This window comes from Homo sapiens, chromosome 14, assembly GCF_000001405.40.
Source record: "Homo sapiens chromosome 14, GRCh38.p14 Primary Assembly".
In the NCBI taxonomy this organism is placed as follows: domain Eukaryota; kingdom Metazoa; phylum Chordata; class Mammalia; order Primates; family Hominidae; genus Homo; species Homo sapiens.
In genome coordinates this window covers 20,378,361-20,405,344 of record NC_000014.9, presented here as the reverse complement: position 1 = coordinate 20,405,344, position 26,984 = coordinate 20,378,361, and the positions used below count along the sequence as shown (strand labels likewise).

Sequence of the window (26,984 nt, the reverse complement as noted above, 5' to 3'; positions counted from 1 at the left end):
GCTTCTCTTAGGAAGGATTTCTGGGTGAGTCTGCGGCCTAGTCCCTGTGGTTCAGTGAAGAGTGGGGAAAGAGTATACTAGACTTGGTTTGTTTAGTAAGTACCCATTCTCTCAAGGAGCTTATAGTATTGTTAGGGAAGCAAAATACTTTTCCAAATATCATACAAATACAGCTGGAATATTAGATAGTGAACATTTCTGAAGCAAAGAAGAGCGCGGTGGGAAATATCTTCTATGATGCTTTGGAAAATGGCAGGTTTAATCAATGATTTGAACCCAGAATAAATTTTTGATAGCTGTTGATGCAGGAGGTCTTCCAAAGAAGGAAAAGGCCTGGTTGACTTGCAAGGCAGTCAGTAGACTCAGAAGAAGACATGCTGGAAAGTTGAGTAAGGGATAGAGTATGGAGGACTTAGAATGCCAAGTCAGGTGGCCTGGGCTTCGTATTTTGTGGACAACGTGGAGGGCTCAGGAAAGGTTTTATACAGGCACACTCAATCAGCAAGTAATTTCAGGGCAGAAAGCTACGGGAGGAGTGACTGAGATTCTAGTCCTCTCACCCTGTGTCCTAGGCATCTTTGTATGCCAGGCAGCAGCTGAACGTCCGGAATGTGGCCAATAACATCTTGGCCATTGCTGCTTTCTTGCCGGCGTGTCGCCCCCACCTGCGACGATATTTCTGTGCCATTGTCCAGCTGCCTTCTGACTGGATCCAGGTGGCTGAGCTTTACCAGGTATGGTGCTCATTTCCCTGAGCTTGGGCCTTCACTTCATTCCTTCTCTTATGCTCACTGCATCCTTGGAGAAAATTCTCAGGCAATTTGGTTTCCCCTCAGCTTTCCTCAGCATTGGTGCCCAGACAGGACAGCTTCTCCCTCCACTAGGCTGGGTTGTCCAGCATGGAGAATGTGATTGAGAAGGGCTGGACCAAAGTTTGAGAAAAAAAAATGGTCTTATTCTGGACCTCATGCTTTTTTTTTTTTTTTTTGGAGACGGAGTTTCACTCTTGTCGCCCAGGCTGGAGTACAATGGCGTGATCTCGGCTCACTGCAACCTCCGCCTCCCAGGTTCAAGCGATTCTCCTTCCTCAGCCTCCCAAGTAGCTGGGATTACAGGCGTGCGCCACCACGCCTGGCTAATTTTTATATTGTTAGTAGTGATGGGGTTTCACCATGATGGCCAGGCTGGTCTTGAACGCCTGACCTCAGGTGATCCACTGGCCTTGGCCTCCCTAAGTGCTGGGATTACAGGCGTAAAGGTGAGCCACCCTGCCCAGCCAGGACCTCATGTTTCTAATGAAGAAATGAAAATCAGTACCACAGAAATTGTGATTTTGGAGCTAGGGCTGGGAACTTGCTCGCTACTCTGTGCTCTCGTGTATCTCCATGAAGTGATCTCGTTTTGTTTTGGAGGGTTGGTTTGGGTCTTGCTTCTAGTGGTCTCTCCTCTCTCTTTGACAGAGCCTGGCTGAGGGAGATAAGAATAAGCTGGTGCCCCTGCCCGCCTGTCTCCGTACTGCCATGACGGACAAATTTGCCCAGTTTGACGAGTACCAGCTGGCTAAGTACAACCCTCGGAAGCACCGGGCCAAGAGACACCCCCGCCGGCCACCCCGCTCTCCAGTCAGTCACTGCCCCAGCCCTCGACCCACGCCCCTTTTCTCCAGGAAGGGCAGGACAAGGGAGCATGCTGATGCTGGGGAGTCCCACACCAGGAGCAAAGGGAGTCAGAGAAATGCAGGGGAGCTGGGTAGAGCTCATGGGCATATGGTGCAGGGCAGTCTTCTTTTCTAGTTGGCTTCCTTTTTGGTAGAGATGCACCTTCAGGGCTATTGACTGGATCTCTTCAAGGACAGCCAGTTCCCTTTTTTTGAAATTGCTTCTCCTGTCCCTACAGGGGATGGAGCCTCCATTTTCTCACAGATGTTTTCCAAGGTACATAGGGTTTCTCAGAGAAGAGCAGAGAAAGGTGAGTCCCTTCTTCTGGGGTTGTATATGTGCATGTACAATCTCTTCTGGACTAATATTTACGAACAAAATTCTATTAGGGTTGAAAATACTTTCTTCCTGGGGATTCTTGGCTGTGATTGTGGGTAAGGTTCTGAGAGCACTGGGAAAGGCATGTGGTTTTATTTTTTTTCACTTCACTCTCCTTGGTATTGTATTTTTTTTTTTTTTTTTTTTTTGAGATGAAGTTATGCACTGTGGCCCAGGCTGGAGAGCTGCAGTGGCACGGTCTTGGCTCACTACAACCTCCACCTCACAGGCTCAAGCGATTCTCCTGCCTCAGCCTCCTGAATAGCTGGGACTACAGGCGTGTGCCACCACGCTTGGCTAATTTTTGTGTTTTTAGTAGAGATGGGGTTTCACCATGTTGGCCAGGCTGGTCTCGAACTCCTGACCTCGTGATCCACCTGCCTTGACCTCCCAAAGTGCTGGAATTACAGATGTGAGCCACCACACCCAGCTGGTATTGTACTTTACTGCCGGGTGACATGTCAGTAAAGTTGGATAAGTGAGTTAAAAACATTATGAAATATATACCTTTCACAGGAAGTTTTAAAAACAAACCAAACAAAATCTTTTTACTTTTGGACAAATAAGGTATTGTACGTAGCATTTAAGAGCATAGAATCTGGATTCACGTCACCCGGCTTTGAATCTTCCATCCACCCCTTACTGGCTATGAGACATTGGTCAAATGATTTAACCTCTCTTGCCTCAGTTTTCTCACGTATTAAATGGGAATAAAAGCAGAACCTACATTGTTAGGTTGTCATAAAGATTAAATAAGTTACTATATTTAAAGTATTTCTAACAATTCCTGGAAGTAAATAAGTGTTAGCTATCACTACCATCATCGTTATTAAAACAGATGATTAGGAAAATATATATTAGCGTTATAAGAAAAAACGCTTTCTCAGTTGGTCAACTCGTCTTTTCTCTTCATCCTATTAATATATCCTAAATTTAGTTCTTCTGCCATAGAAGATGCTGAAAGCTACCTGCTTTTAGTTTTTATTTATTTATTTATTTTTGAGACGAAGTCTTGCTCTGTAGCCCAGGCTGGAGTGCAGTGGTGCTGTCTTGGCTTACTGCAATCCCCACCTCCTGGGTTCAAGCAATTCTCCTGCCTCAGCCTCCCGAGTAGCTGGGAGTACAGACATCCACCACCATGCCCAGCTAATTTTTTTGTAGTTTTAGTAGAGACGGGGTTTCACCATGTTGGTCAGACTGGTCTCAAACTCCTGACCTCCTACTCCTCCCTCCCGAGTAGCTGGGATTCAAATGATCCACCTGCCTTGGCCTCCCAAAGTGTTAGGTTTATAGGCATGAGCCACCACGCCCTGCCTACTTTTAGTTTTTAAACTCCTCGTAGCCTGCATTGTGCTCGTTTCTCTATTTATCTATTAAGAGTCTTAGTGATTTAAATCGGAGCTGATTTTCCCTTTCCCCTCCTCTACAAACAAAGCTGTCCTGTGTTCATTCTATCCCCACCTTGTTTCTCACAAGCCAGTCAACCCATGTTAACTGCTTGTGTGAATGAAACAGTGACCCCAAAGAGTTGCCATCCTGTGCTGCTTACCATGGGAGCTCTTGTTGCCAGAGATTTGTACCCTCTATTCCTGCTCCTTGGCCAAATCTATTTTGAAGAAAGAAATTACCACATAGGGATCGGATGGTCTTACAATCTGCTTTATTGAAGAAAGTTCCCATGGTCATGGATGAAAGGACCCCTGTGGGACTTGGGGATGTTTCCACAGTTTGAGAAGGCCGGTGATACAGTGTCAGAGAAAAAGAATCCTCCAAGGTTCACCCTGAAGAAGCTGGTTCAGCGACTGCACATCCACAAGCCTGCCCAGCACGTTCAAGCCCTGCTGGGTTACAGGTGAGAAGCTGCACCCTGAGCATGCATTCCATCTAAGTAATTCCTTAACTTTTCAACATCCGTGGCCCCCATCCCAGTAGTTCTCAAACCCAGCAACATGACTTTAGACAGACATGCCCTGTAGACATGACTGCCTTTCCAATTGCTGCCTTTCCTTTTCTGACTCACCTGTAAACATGACTCACCTTTCCTTTTCTGAGTTATTTTTAGGCATATTTGGGCAGACATGCCCTGTAAACATGACTCACCTTTCCTTTTCTGAGTTATTTTCTTGCTGACTCTGAAATGATAGACCTCTTTCTTACCTATCCTCAGATACCCCTCCAACCTACAGCTCTTTTCTCGAAGTCGCCTTCCTGGGCCTTGGGATTCTAGCAGAGCTGGGAAGAGGATGAAGCTGTCTAGGCCAGAGACCTGGGAGCGGGAGCTGAGCCTACGGGGGAACAAAGCGTCGGTCTGGGAGGAACTCATTGGTAGAGTGACCTTGACCATCACATTCCCTCCTTCTCTTCCCCATTTATGCCTCCACATTTTAGATCCTCACTAGAAGATTTCTGTGGAATGATGAAGTTATTACTTTGCCTGGTTGTTGTATTTGATTTATAAGGTCTGCCATTGACTACACCAAAGTAAACAGTGGTACCTGCTTTGAGTAATGTTGGCATCATAGATCATTATACCAGATGTAGTTAGGTGATGTACAAGTTTTTATCAACATATGACAAAAGTACCTTCTCTCTCATTGTACTCATATCGATATCTCTGTAACTCATTCCAAAAAAGGTAGGACTGGCACATGGCATATTGGAATCTGTACAGAACCTCATATTGTATTTAGGACATGGAAGTTTTAGGTAATTTGCCCACATTGATACAGAAAAAAAAAAAGTCAAATAGAGGAGGATCAAGTTATCTTCAGTTTTCTCTTTCTCTGTTTTTTTTTTTTTTTTTTTTTTTTTGGTCTACTTTTACCTATAGCAGGCTCTTTCTTTCGTTTTTTACTTTATAAAATTATTACTTTTCTTTTTAAATTTTAGAGACAAGGTCTTTGTAATGTTGCCCAGGCTGGTCTCAAACTCATGGCCTCAAGCATTTCTCCTACCTTGGCCTCCCAAAGTGCTGGAATTATAGGCATGAGCCACTGCACACACACACACACGCACCCACACACAAACACACATACACACACACACCTGCCCCCAGTTGACAGCCTCTTCTTCCCTGATGGTTGAAACCACTTGGGGTGGAGTAGAATAAAGGGGCCTGGATAGAAGCCGGTATATGTAGATAATTCTTTTTTTTTTTTTTTTTTTTTTTTTGAGACGGAGTTTTGCTCTTTTTGCCCAGGCCGGAATGCAATGGCGCAATCTTGGCTCACTGCAACTTCTGCCTCCTGCCTCAGTCTCCCGAGTAGCTGGGATTACAGGCGCATGCCACCATGCCCAGCTAATTTTGTATTTTTAGTAGAGACGGCGTTTCACCATATTGGCTGGTCTTGAACTCCTGACCTCCAGTAATCCACTCGCCTCGGCCTCCCAAAGTGCTGGGATTATAGGTGTGAGCCACCACGCCCAGCCATATGAAGATAATTCTATATGCACCCATCTCCACTTCCTCCCTCTGGTTGAGAACCACTGTCCCTGAAAATGTAAGGACATGTAAATTTATTCTTTTAATGTCATTTATCCTGGTTGAGGCAAATGCCCATAGTCTAATCCCGTGGTGGCTAGTGTTTCTTTTTTTTAATCATATACTACAAAAACAATTTTTAGGATACACCAGAATATATGTATATGTACTTTTTTTTTTTTTTTTTTTTTTTTTAAGAAACAGGGCCTCACTTTGTTGCCAAGGCTGGTCTCCAATTGCTGGGATTACAGATGTAAGCCACTGTGCCCAGCCAAAAATAAATATAAATAAATAAAAGGAAATATAAAAAAAGATATAAGTATAAAATATAAGATAAAATGTAATTGGATATACAGAACCCTTTTTGAAGACCACAGATCTCATTAATAACTCATTAACATTTTTTTGGAATGAAATTAGTGAATTTTGCAATCTTAAGGATAAATGTCCAGTTTATTTTCTAATATCACCAGTATGATATTGGACTTAATTTCTTACCGAAAATGATCTAGAAAACCTTTTATACATAGTAACAGTGGAAAAAACTTGAGTCGACAATGGATGCAATAGTTCATTTATAGTACATATACAACCTAATTGTTCCATACAGTTTGTGAATCAGAATTATGACTGGAGGCCAGGCACCATGGCTCACGCCTGTAATCCCAGCACTTTGGGAGGCTGGGGCGGGCAAATCACTTGAGCTCAGGAGTTTGAGACCAGCCTGAGCAACATGGTGAAACCCCGTCTCTAACCAAAAATAGAAAAATTAGCTGGGCATGGTGGTTGATGTCTGTGGTCCCAGCTGCTTGGGAGGTTGAGGCAGGAGGATTGCTTGAGCCTGGAAAGTGGAGGTTGCAGCGAGCCAAGATTGTGCCACTGAGTGACAGAGACAGACTCCATCTCAAAAATAAAAAAAAAAAGAATGATGACTGGAGAATCCCAAGACTTCCAGAGGGCTGAAAGCTTCCAGCTATAATTCAAATAAGACTTACATCCCCTTTACAAAGGGAGCAGCATTTACCTGATGAAGCTGCTGATGGTGTGGGCTGGTGCACAAGGCATGGTGACGGACTGACCGGCCTGGCCTCTAAAGTGGTTTGAATGCACCTCTGTCCAGGAAAAGAAAATCACACCTCCTATTTATGTTTACTTTTATCTAAAAGAAAAGAATTTTCCCAGTACTTACCATGCAGATTGAACCCACATAGTCACTGAATCCATATGATACAGTGTTATGTGTTACGTGTAATAGTTGAGGTTTTCTGAGCATCCACAATCTGAGGGCATTAATGTCACCCCTTCACTCTTTTTTTTTTTTAATTTTGGTTTCTATATAATTTGACTTATAGCAATTTATCTTTCAATTGTAGATGGATTTGGAATTATATTATTCAGTATTAACCAAATTAACTGTCTAAAATTGATATAAACCTTTTTTTTTTTTTTTTGGGCGGAGTCTCACTTTGATGCCCAGGCTGGAGTGCAATGGCGCGACCTCGGCTCACTTCAACCTCCGCCTCCCAGGTTCAAGTGATTCTCCTGCTTCAGCCTCCTGATTAGCTGAGATTACAGGCGACCACCACCACGCCCGGCTAATTTTTGTATTTTTAGTAGAGATGGGGTTTCACCGTGTTAGCGAGGATGGTCTTGATCTCCTGACCTCATGATCCGCCTGAGTCGGCCTTCCAAAGTGCTGGGATTACAGGCGTGAGCCACTGCACCCGGCCTAAAATTGATATAAACCTTAAAAATATTATTATTAAGAAACTATGGGCTGGGCATGGTGGCTCACGCCTGTAATCCCAGCAATTTGGGAGGCCGAGGCAGGCAGATCACTGTAGATCGGGAGTTTGAGACCAGCCTGGCCAACATGGTGAAACCCCGTCTCTACTAAAAATACAAAAATTAGCCAGGCATGGTGGTGAGCACTTGTAATCCCAGCTACTCGGAGGCTGAGGCAGGAGAATTGCTTGAATCCAGGAATCAGAGGTTGCAGTGAGCTGAGATTGCACCACCACACTCTAGCCTGGGTGACAGAGTGAGACTCCGTCTCAAAAAAAAAAGAAAAGAAACTATGGCTTGAAGATAATATTAATAACACAGGTACAAGGGAACAATAAGGAAGTGACAGAGGTCAGTGGTGAAATTCTATCTCCAGTGCAAATCTTTTTCACCTATATTTAAGCAAAAAAAGTAATGACTAATCAAATAGAAGAAATTGGGTGAGAAGCTTACAAATTATGAAGACTATTTCAAATATGGATTTACATACATTCGTCATTATAAATGGTGAACTTTTTTTTAATTTTTTTTTTGGAGACAGAGTCTTGCTTTGTCACCCAGGCTGCAGTGCAGTGGCGTGATCTCGGTTCACTGCAACCTTCGCATTTTGGTTTCAAGCGATTCTCCTGACTCAGCCTTTCGAGTGGCTGGGATTAGAGGCACCAGACACCACGCCTGGCTAATTTTTGTATTTTTGTAGAGACGGGGTTTCATAAATGGTGAACCTTCTTTTAAATGGATATTGTGCCTTGAAATATTAACTAATGAATGTGCTACATTATGTTAGTATATACTTCATAAATCAACTTACACTACGAAATTTCTCTTTTGGCCATCTAAAAAGTTTAGAAACCTTTGCTCTAGACTAGATAATACATTTTGCCAGTTGAACCCAATCTTAGGGCTAGAGCCAACAGATTAAGTGGTAACATAACAGCCATCCCATAAACAGTGTTGCATAAATTTTGTTCCAAACTTTGGGCCAACCCTGTTTTTAATCTTTCCAAGCCTTTAAAACATTTTGAGTAGGGTAGATTGTATGTGAATTCCTCACTTCCTCTATCTTGGACTTTCCACATGCCTGGTTTCTGAACTTCTTGCTCTGGTCTCTGACCTCTCTCTAATCATCCCTCATTTGCTTTTTTTTTTTGAGACAGTCTTGCTATGTTGCCCAGGCTGGACTCTAATTCCTGGGTTCTGGGCTCAAGTGATCCTTCTGTCTCAGCCTCCTTGGTAGCTGAGATTATAGGTGCATGCCACTGTGCCTGGCCTTCTCATTTGTTTTTCTCACTCTATGCCCCACATTCCACAGAAAATGGGAAGCTTCCCTTCATGGCCATGCTTCGGAACCTGTGCAACCTGCTGCGGGTTGGAATCAGTTCCCGCCACCATGAGCTCATTCTCCAGAGACTCCAGCATGCGGTATGTGTGAGGGGCTGGTAGCCATGGGGCCCAGCAACTAGATGTGCACGTGGAGAGGCCACTGCTGCTTTAGAGGCCAGGCTTTTTCAGGGGGCAGAGGCAGGTACGGCCCTCAAGCTGTTTCCATGTGGGCTGTAAGTAGATCTGGGAATACAGCTAGGTTGAGGGAGATAAGTTTTGGGGTTCAGTAAATCCTTTGAGAAGTTACAGTAGAGTATAAGAACTTTCATTTTAATTTTCTGAGCTCAGTGACTTACCAGGAAGAGACACTTGTGTGATGTAACTGATTTCAGAAGGAGTCTTTGTTTTTTATTTATAGAGATGGGGTTTTGCGATGTTGGCAAGGCTGGTCTCAAACTCTTGAGCCCAGGCAGTCCACCTGCCTAAGGCTCCCAAAGTGCTGGGATTACAGGCGTGAGCTACCACACCCTGCCCAGAGGGAGTCTTAAAAGAAACGGGGCTCCTTCTGTTACTTTCTCTTCTTTTGTTACCTTTTCTCACATCCTAAAATGATGACTTTTTTCTTTCTTCTTATTACCCCTTTTCTATATCTCTTGTCTAAGTTCATTTTGTCCTTCTGTACCTTCCCACAAAGCTAATAGAGTGGACCCCTGAAGCCCCCCATACTCCCGGCTCCTGTGCTCATGACCCCTCCCTCCTTTGCTTTCTAGAAGTCGGTGATCCACAGTCGGCAGTTTCCATTCAGATTTCTTAACGCCCATGATGCCATTGATGCCCTCGAGGCTCAACTCAGAAATCAAGGTATTCTCCCCTTTCTTCCAACTCCTCTTTGCCTCCCACATCTGACAATAAATGAAGCAGCAGCACCAATATTTTTAGCCTCTTGCTTTGCAGTCTCAGGGTGTATCGGGGTGGGGGGCAGAGGTCAGGCACTTGCCAGCCCCAAGGGTTGGGGCTCAGGTCACATTACTGGTAGGAAAAGATGAGGGAATAGAAGCTGCCTAACTCGGAAATTTACCTGTCATCATACAGCATTGCCCTTTCCTTCGAATATAACACTGATGAGGCGGATACTAACTAGAAATGAAAAGAACCGTCCCAGGCGGAGGTTTCTTTGCCACCTAAGCCGTCAGCAGCTTCGGATGGCAATGAGGATACCTGTGTTGTATGAGCAGCTCAAGAGGGAGAAGCTGAGAGTACACAAGGCCAGGTATGTATGCACTGTCTGGGAGCCAAGGGTGGGCAATCGGGGCTACCCTGGCACAGGTTGGAAGTCATCTGGGAATCCCAACTGTTTTTCTGTAAAGGTTTGCTTGTCAGTCATCGCAGTGGCTCAGAACTGCCTGGTTTCTTGCACAGCACACCTTGTCTTTAACATTGTCCTAAAGAGAGATCATGAAACAAAGTCTACTCCTGGACCTCCACTCTATTATCTGTGATTGTTTTATTGGTTTATGTAGATTCCTTTCTTTTAGTTATGCTGATGTATGGTGGTGTATGCTGGTGTCCTCTCTGCTTCTGCTCTGATTCATGGTTTTCTTTTTCTTTTCTGTGACATGTTTGTTTTTCTTTTTGTTTCTATCTTTCTGTATTTTTTGACCCATTCATCTTTTTTGTTTTTGTTGTGTGTGTGTGTATTTTGAAATACACACAAAGATAGTTACCATCAGCAGGCTCAAAGACAGATGTACCATCTGTTTTGTAGGCTTGATGAAGTCTCAGCTGTCTTTTTAAGTGGTTCATCAGTATCTTACACTTATTTTTACTCAAAACAAACACAGGACTCACTTAACTTTCTAGAGGGCTCAGTAACTAGGAATCTCCTGAATCAGTAGCTGAACAGAGGGCCATTTAAGAATCAAGCCTGGCTGGGTGTGGTGGCTCACGCCTGTAATCCCAGAACTTTGGGAGGCCGAGGCAGGTGGATCACGAGGCAGGTGGATCATGAGGTCAGGAGTTTGAGACTAGCCTGGCCAACATGGTGAAACCCCCTGTCTACTAAAAATACAAAAATTAGCCGGGTGTGGTGGTGGGTGCCTGTAATCCCAGCTACTTGGGAGACTAAGGCAGGAGAATCACTTGAACCCGGGAGGCGGAGGTTGCTGTGAGCTGAGATCGCGCCATTGCACTCCAGCCTGGGCAACAAGAGTGAGACTCTGTCTCAAAAAAAAAAAAAAAAAAAAAAGCCCAAGGGGCCAGTCCAAATGGTATTTGTGTACTGACCAATGTAGCCACTAGCCACATGTGGCTATTTAGCAGTTGAAATATGCTAGTGACGTCTGAGTTGAGACATGCTAGGTTTTGAAGGCAGTCTGAAAAAAGAGTGTGAAATATTCATAACTTTTGTATTAATTACAGGCTGACATGAAAATGTTTTCATATATTGGGTTAAATAAAATGCAGTATTAAATTAATTTTAGCCAGGTGCAGGTGCTTGCACTTGTAGTCCCACCTACTTGGGAGGCTGAGGTGCTGGGATCTCTTGAGCTCAGGAATTTGAGGCTGCAGTGAGCTATGATCATGCCACTGCACAGACTAGGCAACAGAGGAAGACCCTGTCCCTTTTTTTTTTGAGACAGGATTTTATTCCCATCACCCAGGCTGGAGTGCAATGGCACAATCCCAGCTCACTGCAACCTCTACCTCTCAGGCTCAAGTGATTCTCCTGCCTCAGCCTCCCAAGTAGCTGGGATTATAGGCACACACCACTGCACCCAGCTATTTTTTGTATTTTTTGTAGAGTTAGGGTTTCACCATGTTACCCAGGCTGGTTTCAAACCCCTGAGCTCAAGCGATCCAACCACCTTGGCCTCCCAAACCAAAGTGCTGAGATTATAGGCATTAGCTAAGCACCCTGGCTCTTTTTTTTTTTTTAATTGAGACAAAGTCCCACTTCGTCACCCAGGCTGGTGTGATCTCAGCTCACTGCAACCCCTGCCTCCCCTGTTCAAGTGATTCTCGTGCCTCAGACTCCCAAGTAGCTGGGATTACAGGTGCATACCACCACACCCCGCTAATTTTTGTATTTTTAGTAGAGACAGGGTTTCACCCTGTTGGCCAGGCTGCTCTCAAACTCCCAACCTCAAGTGATCCAACTACCTCGGCCTCCCAAAGTACTGGGATTACAGGCGTAAGCCACCATGCCTGTCTTGTCTCTTAAAGAAAAGAAAAGTTAATTTCACCAATTTATTTTTACTGTTTAAAATGTGACTATTAGAAAATTATATGTGTATAATTTAAGTTTAATTTGATTTAATTGTAATTGAATTCTATTGGATAGTGCTGGGAAGACTACTGATTTTGCTAGATTAAAAAATTAGTATAAAAAACTTTAAATATGCACACAAGTAATAAAAATATTAATAGACTTTCATAAAACTATCAGATTCAGTGATTATCTAGATTTTATTACATTTTCTTTTTTTTCTTCTCTTTTTTTTTTTGAGACCGAGTCTTGCTCTGTCGCCCAGGCTGGAGTGCAGTGGCACAATCTCGGCTCACTGCAAGCTCCACCTCCTGGGTTCACACCATTCTCCTGCTTCAGCCTCCCGAGTAGCTGGGACTGCAGGCACCCACCACCACGCCCGGCTAATTTTTTTGTATTTTTTTTAGTAGAGATGGGGTTTCACCATGTGAGTCAGGATGGTCTCGATCTCCTTGTGATCTGCCCGCCTCGGCCTCCTAAAGTGTTGGGATTATAGGCGTGAGCCACCGTGCCCGGCTTACATTTTCTTTACTGATCTTTTTTTCTTTTTCTTTTCTTTTGAAGATATTTTTAAAACAAATGTCAAATAATAAGACACATTTTATTTCACCTTTCCTTATTTCATGTGTGTTTCTTTAAAAAGGGACATTTTTTATACAATGAGAATGTCATTAATATACCTGACAAAACTAAAAATAATTCCTCGGTGAAATCATCTGTTATTTAGTCCATATTCAAATTTTCCAATTGTTTAAAAATATCATTTCACAGTTTTATTCAAATCAAGATCTAAACAAGGTATACACATTACATTTGGTTGTTAAGTCTGTTATGTCACTTTTAACCTTTTAATTGTTCTTATGGCATTGAGCTACTGTGAAAACCAGGTTCAGGGACCCCAAAGAATATCCCATATTCTGGATTTGCCTCCTTCCTCATGATGTCATCTAACTTGTTTTTCTGTTTTTGTTCACTGGGCATTAGCTCTAAAGCCTCGAACAGATTTAGATTTGCCAAGTAGTTCATAGGTGATCCTATATATATACTATTTAAGTGGGACCACTACTCAGTAATGCTAATGTTGATCAGCACTTCTAGGTAGTAATAGCCTAATCTCTCCACAGTAGTTAATGCTCATCCATTGGTGATCTTTGCGTGAACCAATTGTTTCATTGGCGGTTGCAGAATGAGGGTTTTATCATTCCTGCATATTTTTTAACTGGAATTTTAAAAACAGCCTCCCTTATCAACTATATTTATTTAGTTACCCGGAAATAGATTGTATGGGAAAGGTGGGATGAATATTCAATTTATTCTCCTTTAATTGCCAGTTTTCAGAGTAAGGAGTTAGCATTTGTTTTTTAAAATACAATTTAAAACTATGTAGCCATTGAATCTTGCTTCATGAAGTAAGAATGGATTCATGTGGTAAGTGTAGCTAGTGGGTCTACAGGTGACTTCCCCTCTCCTACCATGAGTGTGGATTAGAAGAATCCTATAGGATGGGGGCAGAGGGAAGCTCTCTCCCAGTCCTCTACACCAGAAATGGAGTGGGCTGTGGAAGCGGGTATGGTGCTTGAGGGAGGGAGAAGACTCAATACTTAGTGGCAACTTCTCATCTCCCCGTCTGCCTCTAAGGGGCAGATAAGTCCCTGAGCCCCTGTGTCTGTGTCTTTCTTGCATGTAGACAGTGGAAATATGATGGTGAGATGCTGAACAGGTACCGACAGGCCCTAGAGACAGCTGTGAACCTCTCTGTGAAGCACAGCCTGCCCCTGCTGCCAGGCCGCACTGTCTTGGTCTATCTGACAGATGCTAATGCAGACAGGCTCTGTCCAAAGAGCAACCCACAAGGGGTAAGAAAACAAAAAGCATCCTCCAAGGGGTTGGGTTGGTAGAATGCTGGGGATCCTGAGCAGTATCCTGTTCCCAGAGCTGGTTTTCCCAGGCAAACACTCAGACTGAAATAAATGATATGAATTTGCTTCCAAGTATCAGTCCTTGGTTCCTAGGGGCAATTCCTAGGATGTTGTTTCAACCAGGTTTATGGATTATAATACTAACATTTCACCTTTGGCTGGTACTTGGTACTCTCTAAATTTGCATCACCAAAATATGTCTCACTTTCACCTCACTACATCCCGGTGTTGAACTTGGGCAGGGATCCTGGCTCCTCTTTTCCTCCCTCCACAGTCAGCTCCTCCTGAGGGCTGCTGAAGCTGACCCCTCCTAACTTGGGATTTTACACTTTTTCTTATTCCCTCTAACCAATGGAAGGGTTTGGCCTCCAGGGCTGGCTGGGCAAGGGTGAATTCCAAAGCAGGGGAGCTTTATTTCCCCTGACACTTGTCCAATCAGCCCCCGCTGAACTATGCACTGCTGTTGATTGGGATGATGATCACGAGGGCGGAGCAGGTGGACGTCGTGCTGTGTGGAGGTGACACTCTGAAGACTGCAGTGCTTAAGGCAGAAGAAGGCATCCTGAAGACTGCCATCAAGCTCCAGGCTCAAGTCCAGGTCAGACACTCAACACCCACCATCCAAAAATACATGAAGGACACAGGCCTGGGAATAGCCCAGATATTTGGTAAAGGCACAGACAATACACAGTTCTGAAGATTTCCCAAGCAGACTGCAAGACTGCAGTGTTTGTCGCTTACTGTGCAACCACATAACATGAAGTCTCTTTCCTTCAGGAGTTTGATGAAAATGATGGATGGTCCCTGAATACTTTTGGGAAATACCTGCTGTCTCTGGCTGGCCAAAGGGTTCCTGTGAGTATTAATCCCTGAGAAACCCTCTCCCTCCCCCACATTTTCCTCTGCAACTGATATATTTCATTTCTTGACCTTTAGAGCTGACTTCTCCAACCACATACAATAGTCAGATCAGCTCTACTGGCTACAACCCCCTACCCAGTGGTGTGCTGCTGAATATCTAACAACCAGCTGCCTAGAAAAATAAGCCTTGGTTAGTAGCATCTGCTAAATTTCCATGGTGTAAACAGTCCTACCGTGGCTGATTTCAAGCTATCGACATGATGCTACTGAACATAGAGTTGGGAAAAGACGCTCAGGAGCACACTGCTGTGTAGTATTCTCACACTCCTGATATAGTAGATGTAAATAAGCACGTGTAGATAATAGTAAAATGTAGTAAAATTATTAGGAAGTTATACATTTTGAGTATTTATTACATTTGTTTTATTTTCTGATTTTTATTTTTTGAGACAGGGTCTCACTCCGTTGCCCAGGCTGGAGTGAAGTGGCTCGCTTATAGCTCACTGCAACTAAAACTCCTGGGCTCAAGTGATTCTCCTGCCTCAGCCTCCCAAGTAGCTGGGAGTACTGGTGTGTGTCAACATGCCCAGCCACATTTGTTTTAAATATAACTTATTTAATTTTTTAAATGTATACAATTTAATGTTTAATAATGTCCACCTTTAACAACTGCCCACAAACTTCCTGAAAACTTAACAATCAGCTCTCTTGAGCCTGAATGAGCCAGCTGCAGTATACCACTGCCCCACTCCAACCTCCACTTTGATGTCCCCTGTAAGTTAAAATGCAGTGGCTTCCCTCATTCTATGTGCTCTCAGGAGAGGTACTCCTCTCAGAGTTCTCCTAATCCTCCTGTCCTCAGAAAGCTCATATCTTAATGTCCTGGGCTGTCTAGCATCCCTTCTCTAGCATCTTCTCCCTTTTCATCTTACAGGTGGACAGGGTCATCCTCCTTGGCCAAAGCATGGATGATGGAATGATAAATGTGGCCAAACAGCTTTACTGGCAGCGTGTGAATTCCAAGTGCCTCTTTGTTGGTATCCTCCTAAGAAGGGTACAATACCTGTAAGGGTGCTTATACTTCCTGCCCAGTGTCAGAAATCAGTGGTCTACATTTCCTCTCTACGCCTGCCAAAGCATAGGACACTCCCACTTGGCAGGGATCTCCCCAACTCTGCCTTCTTACCTCTGTTGCACTTCAGGTGGATACTTTAGCCTAACTCTGTACCCCTCTGTGAGAGTCCACCCTAGCCCTAGCCTACCACATAACCCTATTAAAGGTGCAGAAGTGGGGTTTTCATCTTGGGATGTTAGTGGGCAGTGACTGTGTTCCAGGTATTGTTTGTGATGGTTAATGACTGCTTCTTCCTTTGCCAGGTCAACAGATTTGAATCCCAATGATGTGACACTCTCAGGCTGTACTGATGCGATACTGAAGTGAGTACAGAATGGATACTGAAGGGTTGGATACTTTGTTGGAAAGTTTTTAGGAGATTATCTCTACTCCAGTCACTTTTTTTTTTTTTTAAGACAGAATCTCACTCTGTCGCTCAGGCTGGAGTGCAGTGGCACAATCTTGGCTCACTGCAACCTCCATCTCCTGGGTTCAAGCGATCCTCCTGCCTCCGCCTCCCGAGTACCTGGGACTACAGACATGCACCACCATGCCCGGCTAATTTTTGTATTTTTAGTAGAGACGGGGTTTCACCATGTTGGTCAGGCTGGTCTTGAACTCCTGACCTTGTGATCCACCCACCTCAGCCTCCCAAAGTGCTGGGATTACAGGCGTGAGCCACCGCACCCGGCTCCAGTTACTTCTTTTTTAAAGTGAGGTAGTTCACTCCTCTTTTACAGCCATCCAGGCATAGCAGCAACACAGTGTCACAGGGACCCAGGCACTTTCTCTCTTATTGCTCCATGATCCTCAAATACTCAGCTTCTACCTCATAATTCAATATGTCTGCCTGAGCTCCAGCCATCTTGGTATTCAGCCAAGTTTGTATTATATCCAGTAGGAAAGAAGAAAGGGGACATGGGAGACTTCACTGTCAAGAGTTGGCCATGTCACTGTGGCTTCTGTTCAATTCTTGATCCAGAGAAAATTATGTCTATTTAAGCTAAAATTACAGAAATCTTTTCACGTTTTTTTTATCTGTCTCTCCATCCTTTGCCTTCTTATTTACTTGTTTTCTCCCCTGGCTTTTCCTCTGGATACCATCCATTTCCCTCAACTCCTATGAGAAAGCCTCAGGCACATTCCTCCTTCTCCAGGGGGCCTTTATGGCTGGCACAGAGCTGCTCAAGCCCAGACTGGGATGGCTTTAATCTTTACACCTTTCCCTACCCCGTTGCCCCGGCCCAACAGCAAGTTTGTGATTACCACGCACAGCAGGAGGGGCTAGAGCTGGGCTTCTCTTTTCCTTCATTCCTGTGGTTCTGCATCCTCATTTATTTTAAGTCTGCATAAACTGCTTATGGTCCTCTTCTTAAGGAGCTTGACTTAACTGGTCACCAAACCTGGACATATCTTTTTCCCCCTGCCCTTTTCGGAAGACCTCACTGATTTCGACCTGTGGTATTCTACTCTCATTTATCTTGTTATTTATGTCAGGTTCATTGCAGAGCATGGGGCCTCCCATCTTCTGGAACATGTGGGCCAAATGGACAAAATATTCAAGATTCCACCACCCCCAGGAAAGACAGGGGTCCAGTCTCTCCGGCCACTGGAAGAGGACACTCCAAGCCCCTTGGCTCCTGTTTCCCAGCAAGGGTCAGTCTGTGTTTCTATGCCTTTGTGAATTGGGAGGGGCTGCAGTCAAACCTTGGGAAACCCTGGGGCTGAAATTCTAGCTGGTGAGGTGCCGCTTGTTCTCTTCATGAAGGCATGCTTCCTCTTTCTCAGGCGGAGGTTTCTCTACCACAGGGAGTTGTCAGATTGTGAGCAAGCCCTTCCTTTCTCTACTGAGGAAAGGAAGTCAGAATGCAAAGATGACGGCAGACATCATGGCCGTATGGCCAGGGCGTAGGCAGAGGGCTTAGGAGCACAGGTTCTGGCTTTTTCATTGTGGCTTTGCCAAATAGTAGTTTGAATCTGGCTTAGTTGCTTAATTTCTTTTTTTTTTTGAGACGGAGTCTCGCTGTGTCGCCCAGTCTGGGGTACAGTGGCGTGATCTCGGCTCACTGCAAGCTCTGCCTCCTGGGTTCACACCATTCTCCTGCCTCAGCCTCCCGAGTAGCTGGGACTACAGGCGCCTGCCACCATGCCCGGCTAATTTTTTTTTTGGATTTTTAGTAGAGACAGGGTTTCGTCATGTTGGACAGGCTAACCTTGAACTCCCGACCTCAGGTGATCTGCCCGCCTCGACCTCCCAAAGTGCTGGGATTACAGGCGTGAGCCATCGCGCCTGACCAGTTGCTTAATTTCTTAAAGCTATAGTTTCTTGCTGAGCGCCGTGGCTCACGCCTGTAATCCCAGCACTTTGGGAGGTCGAGGCGGGCAGATCACCTGAGGTCGGGAGTTCAAGGTTAGCCTGTCCAACATGACTAAACCCTGTCTCTACTAAAAATACAAAATTAGCCAGGTGTGGTGGCTCATGCCTGTAATCCCAGTTACTGGGGAGGCTGAGGTGGGAGAATTGCTTGAACCCTGGAGGCAGAGGTTGCAGTGAGCCGAGATCGCGCCATTTTACTCTAGCCTGGGCAACAAGAGCAAAACTCTGTCTCAAAAAAAAAAAAAGTTATCGTTTCTTGATTGCTAAAATGGAGATAATGATAGTGCTTACCTCACAGTGCTGTCATGAACAAGCAGTAAGTATATAAAAATGATTACCAGAAAAAAGAGAGGTGTACAAGAAATAGCAAGTGGGCATTAAATTCCAGGGCCCTGCAGTTGAGACCACTAGCAGGTGCTTCTCTGAAGGCCTGCTGGGCACCCATCTGCTGTCTGTCGTACCTGGCTTGTGCTCAGTGCTAAAGGGTGATCACAGCAGTGTCTATGGATGGGGGGTGGGAATCATCCCTAGACTGAGCCCAGCTCTCTGCTTATCCCCAGATGGCGCAGCATCCGGCTTTTCATTTCATCCACTTTCCGAGACATGCATGGGGAGCGGGACCTGCTGCTGAGGTCTGTGCTGCCAGCACTGCAGGCCCGAGCGGCCCCTCACCGTATCAGCCTTCACGGAATCGACCTCCGCTGGGGCGTCACTGAGGAGGAGACCCGTAGGAACAGGTGTGGGGGCTGCAGAGAAGAGGGGCTGGGTCGGGGATGAGGGGCTTGAGTGGTGGACCTGAGGTGGGCATGGTTGGGGCTGCAAGAATGGATGAGGGTGAAGGCGGGAGTCGCTCCTTGGATACTAACAAGAGCAGCCTACCTTTTCTTTACTCAGTTGCGAGTCAGGGCCCCGTCTCCCTGTTTGTGCCTATGTTCCCTGATACCATGCCCCCAGTGACTCCCACACGTCCCTATCATCATGCCTACAGACAACTGGAAGTGTGCCTTGGGGAGGTGGAGAACGCACAGCTGTTTGTGGGGATTCTGGGCTCCCGTTATGGATACATTCCCCCCAGCTACAACCTTCCTGACCATCCACACTTCCACTGGGTAAGGCAGACAGGTTTGGAGGAGGGCTGGGGAGGAAGCAAAGATTGGGGCAGAGGCTGGGAGAAGCCACACTCTGTCAGAAACCCTGCAACTATGAACAGGCAGGTCCTTGAGACTTGAAGTGAAATACAGGCTGAAGATACTGCAAGTGACCATGCTCTAGATGAGAAAAGTCCTTTGAGAAGTGCCTCTGGGGTTGGCCATGAGCAAAAGTAAGAGGGTGGGTCTGCTTAGGTGTTGCCATCAGATAGATCTGGGTACTGATCTCCCTTCTGTCATCTACAAGTTGTGTGGCTTTGTGTGATGCAGCTTACTCTGACCTAGCCTCCATTTCCCTATATTAAAGAGAAGCAATGACATTGACATTGGAGGGTTATTATGAGAATTGAAAGTCTGTAACAGGGCCAGGTGCAGTGGCTCACGCCTATAATCCCAGCAGTTTGGGAGACCAAGGCGGGTGGATCACCTGAGGTCAGGAGTTTGAGACCAGCCTGGCCAACATGGTGAAACCCTGTCTCTACTAAAAATACAAAAATTAGCTGGGCTTGGTGGTAGACACCTGTAATCCCAGCTACTCAGGAGGCTGAGGCAGGAGAATTGCTTGAACCGAGGAGGCGGAGGTTGCTGTGAGCCAAGATTGCGCCATTGCACTCCAGCCTGGGTGACAAGAACAAAGCTCAGTCTCAAAAAAACAAAAAATAAAAAATAAAAAAAAATCAAAGGTCTGTAACAGAATACTCAATACATTACAGGCATTCAATGAATGTTAGCTATTAGTGCCTTGTTCCAGGAAAAAAAAATAAAAATAAATAAAAAACATTAGCTATTAGCTATATTTTATTGCTTGTGCCTGGAGGGAAGGAGAGAGGAACATCAGAGATACAGGAGTCCTGGGGCCTTGGCAGGTCTGGAGGGAGGGTCATTGTGGCCTAGGACTAAACTCACTGTCTCTGTCCTCCCCGCAGGCCCAGCAGTACCCTTCAGGGCGCTCTGTGACAGAGATGGAGGTGATGCAGTTCCTGAACCGGAACCAACGTCTGCAGCCCTCTGCCCAAGCTCTCATCTACTTCCGGGATTCCAGCTTCCTCAGGTACTGTCTGTTGCCTGCAGGCTGGGGCTCCTTCCCCAAAAGGCCAGACAGGCCAGTCTTCTCTCCTCAGTATTCAGAGTATAGAAGGGGAGTGCTATGAGGCAGAAACAGGACTCAGCATGCCTTTGCAGCCCCACGTCAGCCTTGGTGCTGGAGTCAGGAGCTCTCTACTTGAGGAGCTTCAGGAAATTACAGCTATGTCTGGTGGTTGGTGGAGGGAGGCTGGCTGGGGTCTGAGTCTATTCCAACTTTTGGGGTCTTTGGTGGTCAGCTCTGTGCCAGATGCCTGGAAATCTGACTTTGTTTCTGAGTCTGAAGAGGCCGCACGTCGGATCTCAGAACTGAAGAGCTACCTAAGCAGACAGAAAGGGATCACCTGCCGCAGGTGAGCTGAGGGAGGTAGGGAGCACCTGTACAGAGATGTGGTGAGAGGAGCCGGGCCTGCTCTGACCTGGTTGTGCTTGATTTGCCCACAGATACCCCTGTGAGTGGGGGGGTGTGGCAGCTGGCCGGCCCTATGTTGGCGGGCTGGAGGAGTTTGGGCAGTTGGTTCTGCAGGATGTATGGAATATGATCCAGAAGCTCTACCTGCAGGTCAGCAGAAGCACTGGTGACCAGAGGCATGGAGAGGGACATGGGGTGGTCTGGGTTGTCCTGGGGAGGAAGTAGCTTGGCGGGGGCTCTGTGAGTTTTAGCCTGGGAGTGCTGAGGAGCATGGCACCATGGATAGTCACTGACCCATTTACCCTCAGCCTGGGGCCCTGCTGGAGCAGCCAGTGTCCATCCCAGACGATGACTTGGTCCAGGCCACCTTCCAGCAGCTGCAGAAGCCACCGAGTCCTGCCCGGCCACGCCTTCTTCAGGACACAGTGCAACGGCTGATGCTGCCCCACGGAAGGCTGAGCCTGGTGACGGGGCAGTCAGGACAGGGCAAGACAGCCTTCCTGGTACAGAGTCTCAGGGGCCTGGGCAGGAGGGAGGGAAGGCTGTGTGGGCTAAGGAGGTAAGGCACAGGGAGCTCAGGCATGTAAAATGTGACCATGTTTTCTGTTCCTGTCCCATGCAGGCATCTCTTGTGTCAGCCCTGCAGGCTCCTGATGGGGCCAAGGTGGCATCATTAGTCTTCTTCCACTTTTCTGGGGCTCGTCCTGACCAGGGTCTTGCCCTCACTCTGCTCAGACGCCTCTGTACCTATCTGCGTGGCCAACTAAAAGAGCCAGGTGCCCTCCCCAGCACCTACCGGTGGGTATCCCCCAATGAGCCCAGCCTTGTTGATGCCCACGTACCACCCCTGCTTTTTTTTTCTCTCCCACTGACCCTGACTTCCTCTCCATGTACAGAAGCCTGGTGTGGGAGCTGCAGCAGAGGCTGCTGCCCAAGTCTGCTGAGTCCCTGCATCCTGGCCAGACCCAGGTCCTGATCATCGATGGGGCTGATAGGTTAGTGGACCAGAATGGGCAGCTGATTTCAGACTGGATCCCAAAGAAGCTTCCCCGGGTGAGTGTGAGAAGGAGGTGGGTGTCGGGAGGCAGGCTGGGGAGAAGGAGGGATACGGCACGGAGGAGAGAGGCCTCTCCAATGTGGTTCTCCTTTTCTTTCTACCTTCCTGCCCCTTTGCCCAAATATCACAGTGTGTACACCTGGTGCTGAGTGTGTCTAGTGATGCAGGCCTAGGGGAGACCCTTGAGCAGAGCCAGGGTGCCCACGTGCTGGCCTTGGGGCCTCTGGAGGCCTCTGCTCGGGCCCGGCTGGTGAGAGAGGAGCTGGCCCTGTACGGGAAGCGGCTGGAGGAGTCACCATTTAACAACCAGGTTGGGTTCTAGGCCGGGGCCGGTGGGTGTGTGGGGTGAATCTGGGAGCTATGAGGACCTGGGGTGCCGAGGCCGCTAGCTGCCTTGCACAGACCTGCTCCTTTGTTTTCTCAGAAATTCTGTCCATGGGAAGTTGTTAATAAGAAAATTGTGATTCCTGATCATGTCACCCAGCCCTCTTCCCCCGGTGAATGGCCTTTCCAGGGCCTCTCGGGGTGAGGGGATGAGTCAAGTGGTTTTTGGTGGGGTAGGCCGAGCCACAGGGGTTTTCTGGCAGGGCTGGCTGGGCAGAGCAGCGTAGGAGAGGGATGGTTTGTGTCCTGGGATGATGCCATGGACCTGGCGTCTGCTGGGGACTCTCAGAGGAGGAGCTGCCTGGCAGAGGGGCTGGTGCTGGGGCAGAGGGCTGGCTGCGGGCAGCCCTCCTGGACCCCACCCTGAGTCCTGAGTCTTGCCAGATGCGACTGCTGCTGGTGAAGCGGGAATCAGGCCGGCCGCTCTACCTGCGCTTGGTCACCGATCACCTGAGGCTCTTCACGCTGTATGAGCAGGTCAGTTCTCATCACCTTCCAAGTCCTAATCACTACTTCCCATTCTCTCTTCAGCTGCTTTGTCTCATCCCTATCCCACGTCCTTTGCTGTCTTGTGATCACCCACTCCCTATCCTCGCCTCATACCTCGCCTCACTTCCCTCCTACTGTTGTTCTTTACTTTTTCATTCCTCCACACTGTCCTCCTGCTGCCCCTTCCCTATCCCACAAGCCAAGCTGCTTCTCCTCCCACTGCACTGAACAAGGCTGTCCTCCCGCCATCCTAGGTGTCTGAGAGACTCCGGACCCTGCCTGCCACTGTCCCCCTGCTGCTGCAGCACATCCTGAGCACACTGGAGAAGGAGCACGGGCCTGATGTCCTTCCCCAGGCCTTGACTGCCCTAGAAGTCACACGGAGTGGTCAGTGCTTGGGGTGGGTTGGTTGGGAGGCTGAGGGCCAGGGTTCGGATTACATTGGTTCCCTTGGGGTCTCAGCAGGCAGTTCAAGGAGAGACTGGGTGTGGTGGGGGCGGGGACACCGTATGGTTAGATGAGGGCCTCAGAGAGCTTGAGTTTTCAGGTTTGACTGTGGACCAGCTGCACGGAGTGCTGAGTGTGTGGCGGACACTACCGAAGGGGACTAAGAGCTGGGAAGAAGCAGTGGCTGCTGGTAACAGTGGAGACCCCTACCCCATGGGCCCGTTTGCCTGCCTCGTCCAGAGTCTGCGCAGGTACAGGTGCCCCAGCAGAGCTCCCGCTGACCTCTCTGTGCCTTCCCTTCTTTGAGCCGGGGCCCTCTGTATAGCTTCAACAACTGGCTCCCAGACCATGAATGAGCTACTGCTCCAGCTGCTCCAGTTTCCGCTATTTGAGGGGGGAATAGGAGCCCACTGTGTGCCAGGAAGCTCACTGACAGGCCTCTTCCTTCTTCTCTCTCCCTTCCTCACACGAGGACAGTTTGCTAGGGGAGGGCCCTCTGGAGCGCCCTGGTGCCCGGCTGTGCCTCCCTGATGGGCCCCTGAGAACAGCAGCTAAACGTTGCTATGGGAAGAGGCCAGGGCTAGAGGACACGGCACACATCCTCATTGCAGGTGATTGCAGCCCAAGTCAGCCTGGGCACTGAGTGTGGGGCTTGGGCCTGGAGGCCAGGACCACCCACTGTGCTCCCATCTGCTGGCCAGCTCACCTACTGCCCTTGGGAATGATGCAGGGCTGAGCCTTTCTCAATATCTGTTCATGCAGCTCAGCTCTGGAAGACATGTGACGCTGATGCCTCAGGCACCTTCCGAAGTTGCCCTCCTGAGGCTCTGGGAGACCTGCCTTACCACCTGGTTAGTTCCTAGACCCCATAGACACCTTTCCCAAAGTGAGTGCTTTGGTTGCTCTGAGACCCCTCTCCCCGTTACCATCTCCACCATCACCGCCGCCATTACCCCTCCCAAACTCCCTTGACCTCTTTCCTTTCAGTTTTCCTGCCCTTCTTCTTCAAGTCCTTTGTCCCAGCTCAGATCCTATCTCTGTATCCAGGTTCTGAGACTAAACTGTCCCTTCTCACCAGCCCCTTCATATCCCTAATGAATTCAATCTGACCTTCTCAGCTCCAGAGCGGGAACCGTGGACTTCTTTCGAAGTTCCTTACCAACCTCCATGTGGTGGCTGCACACTTGGAATTGGGTCTGGTCTCTCGGCTCTTGGAGGCCCATGCCCTCTATGGTGAGATGAGTCACTGGCTGGGTTCTTCTCTGAGATATGGGACTCCTGGGTGTGCTTATGGGGGCCCTGCTCAGGGTTGGGGCAGGGGTGTGGGTGTCAGGGAAAAAAGATTCAAATTTCCATTTCGAGTTGAAAATGCCAAGAGGGTGAGCACGTGACTCTCAGGAGACCTTTCACCTTGATCTCTTGGACCAGAGATTCTTCAACTTTATTTAGTTAGCATAAAACTATCTAGGAAACTTGTTCAAATTGCAGATCCTTGGGTCTCCATATTCTGGTTTCCTAGGTTTGGAGTGGGGCTCAAAGCTTTGTACTTTTAAGAGATATTCCTGATATAGGGCCAGAGGGCCACACTTTGAGACTTACTATTGTAGACACACCATATGGTTTTATTTGGTGCTGGGGCTAATGGGGTCCAGCTGGCTCCCCAGTGACATTCTGCCACCCTTTTATAGCTTCTTCAGTCCCCAAAGAGGAACAAAAGCTCCCCGAGGCTGACGTTGCAGTGTTTCGCACCTTCCTGAGGCAGCAGGCTTCAATCCTCAGCCAGTACCCCCGGCTCCTGCCCCAGCAGGCAGCCAACCAGCCCCTGGACTCACCTCTTTGCCACCAAGCCTCGCTGCTCTCCCGGAGATGGCACCTCCAACACACACTACGATGGCTTAATAAACCCCGGACCATGAAAAATCAGCAAAGGTAAGACCTTGACCCCAGACCCTAGTAAGCCCACCAGAGAGCAAGCTGCAGCTCTTTCTGAAACTGAGGAATAAGGATGACCAGAAACACTGGAGAGGGATCCAGGCACAGAAGCACATAAATCAACTCCTGTTTGCATTCTCTCGTTTATTTCCTCCCTTTCTTCCTACTCTTTCTCTAGCTCCAGCCTGTCTCTGGCAGTTTCCTCATCCCCTACTGCTGTGGCCTTCTCCACCAATGGGCAAAGAGCAGCTGTGGGCACTGCCAATGGGACAGTTTACCTGTTGGACCTGAGAACTTGGCAGGTATGACAATCAAGGAGGGGCAGAATTTACCCTCTGAAAATCCATGCAGACTGCCCTGAAGCCCTAGATGAGCCAAACACACCTGTTATCACTCTGATTAATTCAGCAACTTTACTGCCTGCACATCAGCTCAAAGGGCTTGGCCAAAAAATCAATCACACAGCAAATATTTGCTGCACACCTTCCATTTAAGGCACTGTGCTAAGCGTTGCAAGAAACACAGGATTTGGGACATTGTCATTGCCCACCAAGTGGTCAGTTTTGTTGGGAGATAAGACATACGAGGTAAAAAAGGAACCAAAACATAGCCATGTAATCTAATTAAGACATGAGTGAGTTGTGCAGCTATAGGAGGACATAGGATAGAGAAGGGCAGGCACTCTTGTTTGAACAAGGAACCTGAGCAAAGACACAGGAGGGGAATGTTCCTGGTAAATTTGTAAATTGCTGGGAATTATGGCAGCACAGCGTGCTTATGGGAGGCTAATAGTACATTAGGCTGGAGAGGTGAGTCCTAGAACCACAGCCTCTTTCTATCCTCTTTACACTCATGTCATCCCCTACCCCATGTAACCCCATTTTCTCAGACCCATCAAAATTTTCTGTAACTTGGGGAATAGGTATGGGGTTTGGAGTAGGGGAGAAAATGTGGCCCCACTTGGATCACGAGGCCCCCACTTGAACGTGTGCTTGACTTGGAACATAGAGAGCCAAGGACTCATGGCCTTTGTGCCTTGGCCTTCTTTTTGGGTGGGGCCTGGAGTGGTGGGACTTGGAGGGTCAAGGGGATGGCCTGAGCTGCGCTCCCTCACCCACTGTCGCAGGAGGAGAAGTCTGTGGTGAGTGGCTGTGATGGAATCTCTGCTTGTTTGTTCCTCTCCGATGATACACTCTTTCTTACTGCCTTCGACGGGCTCCTGGAGCTCTGGGACCTGCAGCATGGTTGTCGGTAAGGGGTCCTCCCCATTTGTCTTGGAATGAGGGCCTTCCCCATTTTTTGGAAGCCCCAGGAGAAGGAAATGAGGAGGGAGCTGATGGCCAGGGTCCAGAGGACTGACTTCATCTTCCTGGGATAGGGTGCTGCAGACTAAGGCTCACCAGTACCAAATCACTGGCTGCTGCCTGAGCCCAGACTGCCGGCTGCTAGCCACCGTGTGCTTGGGAGGATGCCTAAAGGTAAGACTTGGGGTCTGCAGTGGTCAGAGTGGCCCTGAGCCATGACTCACCCTCGTGAATTTGTTCTCTCAGTGCGGCAGAGGCTGCTGACTCCCTGGCCAGAGAAGGCCTTCCCTGCTGAGGGCAGGGTAACTGGACAAGGTTGCTCCTGGAGGTCTGGGACTGAGAAGTTCAGGCATCTCTCTTCAGCATCCTGATTCCTCCTCTCTCTCCCTCAGCTGTGGGACACAGTCCGTGGGCAGCTGGCCTTCCAGCACACCTACCCCAAGTCCCTGAACTGTGTTGCCTTCCACCCAGAGGGGCAGGTAATAGCCACAGGCAGCTGGGCTGGCAGCATCAGCTTCTTCCAGGTGGATGGGCTCAAAGTCACCAAGGTAAGAAGGTCCAGTGTTG

The 26,984-nt window shown here is 47.7% G+C and overlaps 1 protein-coding gene across 8 annotated transcripts in view, besides 2 other annotated features; it reads left to right on the top strand.

The window, feature by feature from the left end:
* The window catches only part of TEP1 (telomerase associated protein 1), a 47,835-nt gene that overhangs the window by 8,157 nt on the left and 12,694 nt on the right, over nt 1-26,984 (top strand). For 4 of the 8 annotated variants that reach the window (NM_007110.5, XM_005268027.6, XM_047431733.1 and 1 more), the window contains exons 5-38: nt 573-734; nt 1,461-1,622; nt 1,897-1,968; nt 3,764-3,888; nt 4,204-4,361; nt 8,615-8,724; nt 9,396-9,486; nt 9,718-9,895; nt 13,578-13,746; nt 14,249-14,407; nt 14,587-14,664; nt 15,605-15,735; nt 16,048-16,107; nt 17,282-17,440; nt 18,722-18,898; nt 19,150-19,270; nt 20,236-20,360; nt 20,632-20,745; nt 20,837-20,954; nt 21,113-21,307; nt 21,427-21,602; nt 21,701-21,857; nt 21,992-22,171; nt 22,630-22,722; nt 22,989-23,121; nt 23,282-23,432; nt 23,659-23,792; nt 23,944-24,032; nt 24,300-24,414; nt 24,870-25,110; nt 25,292-25,415; nt 26,240-26,364; nt 26,492-26,591; nt 26,810-26,965. In NM_007110.5, coding sequence (NP_009041.2) covers nt 573-734; nt 1,461-1,622; nt 1,897-1,968; nt 3,764-3,888; nt 4,204-4,361; nt 8,615-8,724; nt 9,396-9,486; nt 9,718-9,895; nt 13,578-13,746; nt 14,249-14,407; nt 14,587-14,664; nt 15,605-15,735; nt 16,048-16,107; nt 17,282-17,440; nt 18,722-18,898; nt 19,150-19,270; nt 20,236-20,360; nt 20,632-20,745; nt 20,837-20,954; nt 21,113-21,307; nt 21,427-21,602; nt 21,701-21,857; nt 21,992-22,171; nt 22,630-22,722; nt 22,989-23,121; nt 23,282-23,432; nt 23,659-23,792; nt 23,944-24,032; nt 24,300-24,414; nt 24,870-25,110; nt 25,292-25,415; nt 26,240-26,364; nt 26,492-26,591; nt 26,810-26,965 — 4,638 coding nt within the window. Of the gene's footprint in view, nt 1-572; nt 735-1,460; nt 1,623-1,896; nt 1,969-3,763; nt 3,889-4,203; nt 4,362-8,614; nt 8,725-9,395; nt 9,487-9,717; nt 9,896-13,577; nt 13,747-14,248; nt 14,408-14,586; nt 14,665-15,604; nt 15,736-16,047; nt 16,108-17,281; nt 17,441-18,721; nt 18,899-19,149; nt 19,271-20,235; nt 20,361-20,631; nt 20,746-20,836; nt 20,955-21,112; nt 21,308-21,426; nt 21,603-21,700; nt 21,858-21,991; nt 22,172-22,629; nt 22,723-22,988; nt 23,122-23,281; nt 23,433-23,658; nt 23,793-23,943; nt 24,033-24,299; nt 24,415-24,869; nt 25,111-25,291; nt 25,416-26,239; nt 26,365-26,491; nt 26,592-26,809; nt 26,966-26,984 lie in introns of those variants that run through there. The other 4 variants (XM_047431735.1, NM_001319035.2, XM_011537110.3 and 1 more) reach the window with 4 other exon arrangements.
* Nucleotides 3,517-4,716: an enhancer, noted in NCBI's record as "CDK7 strongly-dependent group 2 enhancer chr14:20868788-20869987 (GRCh37/hg19 assembly coordinates)". NCBI's record gives its function as "activates an origin of replication core promoter dependent on BRD2, BRD4, P300/CBP, MED14 and CDK7 cofactors, with strong dependence on CDK7, by STARR-seq in HCT116 cells {active_cell/tissue: HCT116}" and the evidence as "EXISTENCE:reporter gene assay evidence [ECO:0000049][PMID:35650434]".
* Nucleotides 25,609-25,809: a silencer, noted in NCBI's record as "peak2111 fragment used in MPRA reporter construct". NCBI's record gives its function as "represses an SCP1 promoter by STARR-seq MPRAs in K562 erythroleukemia cells {active_cell/tissue: K562}" and the evidence as "EXISTENCE:reporter gene assay evidence [ECO:0000049][PMID:32103011]".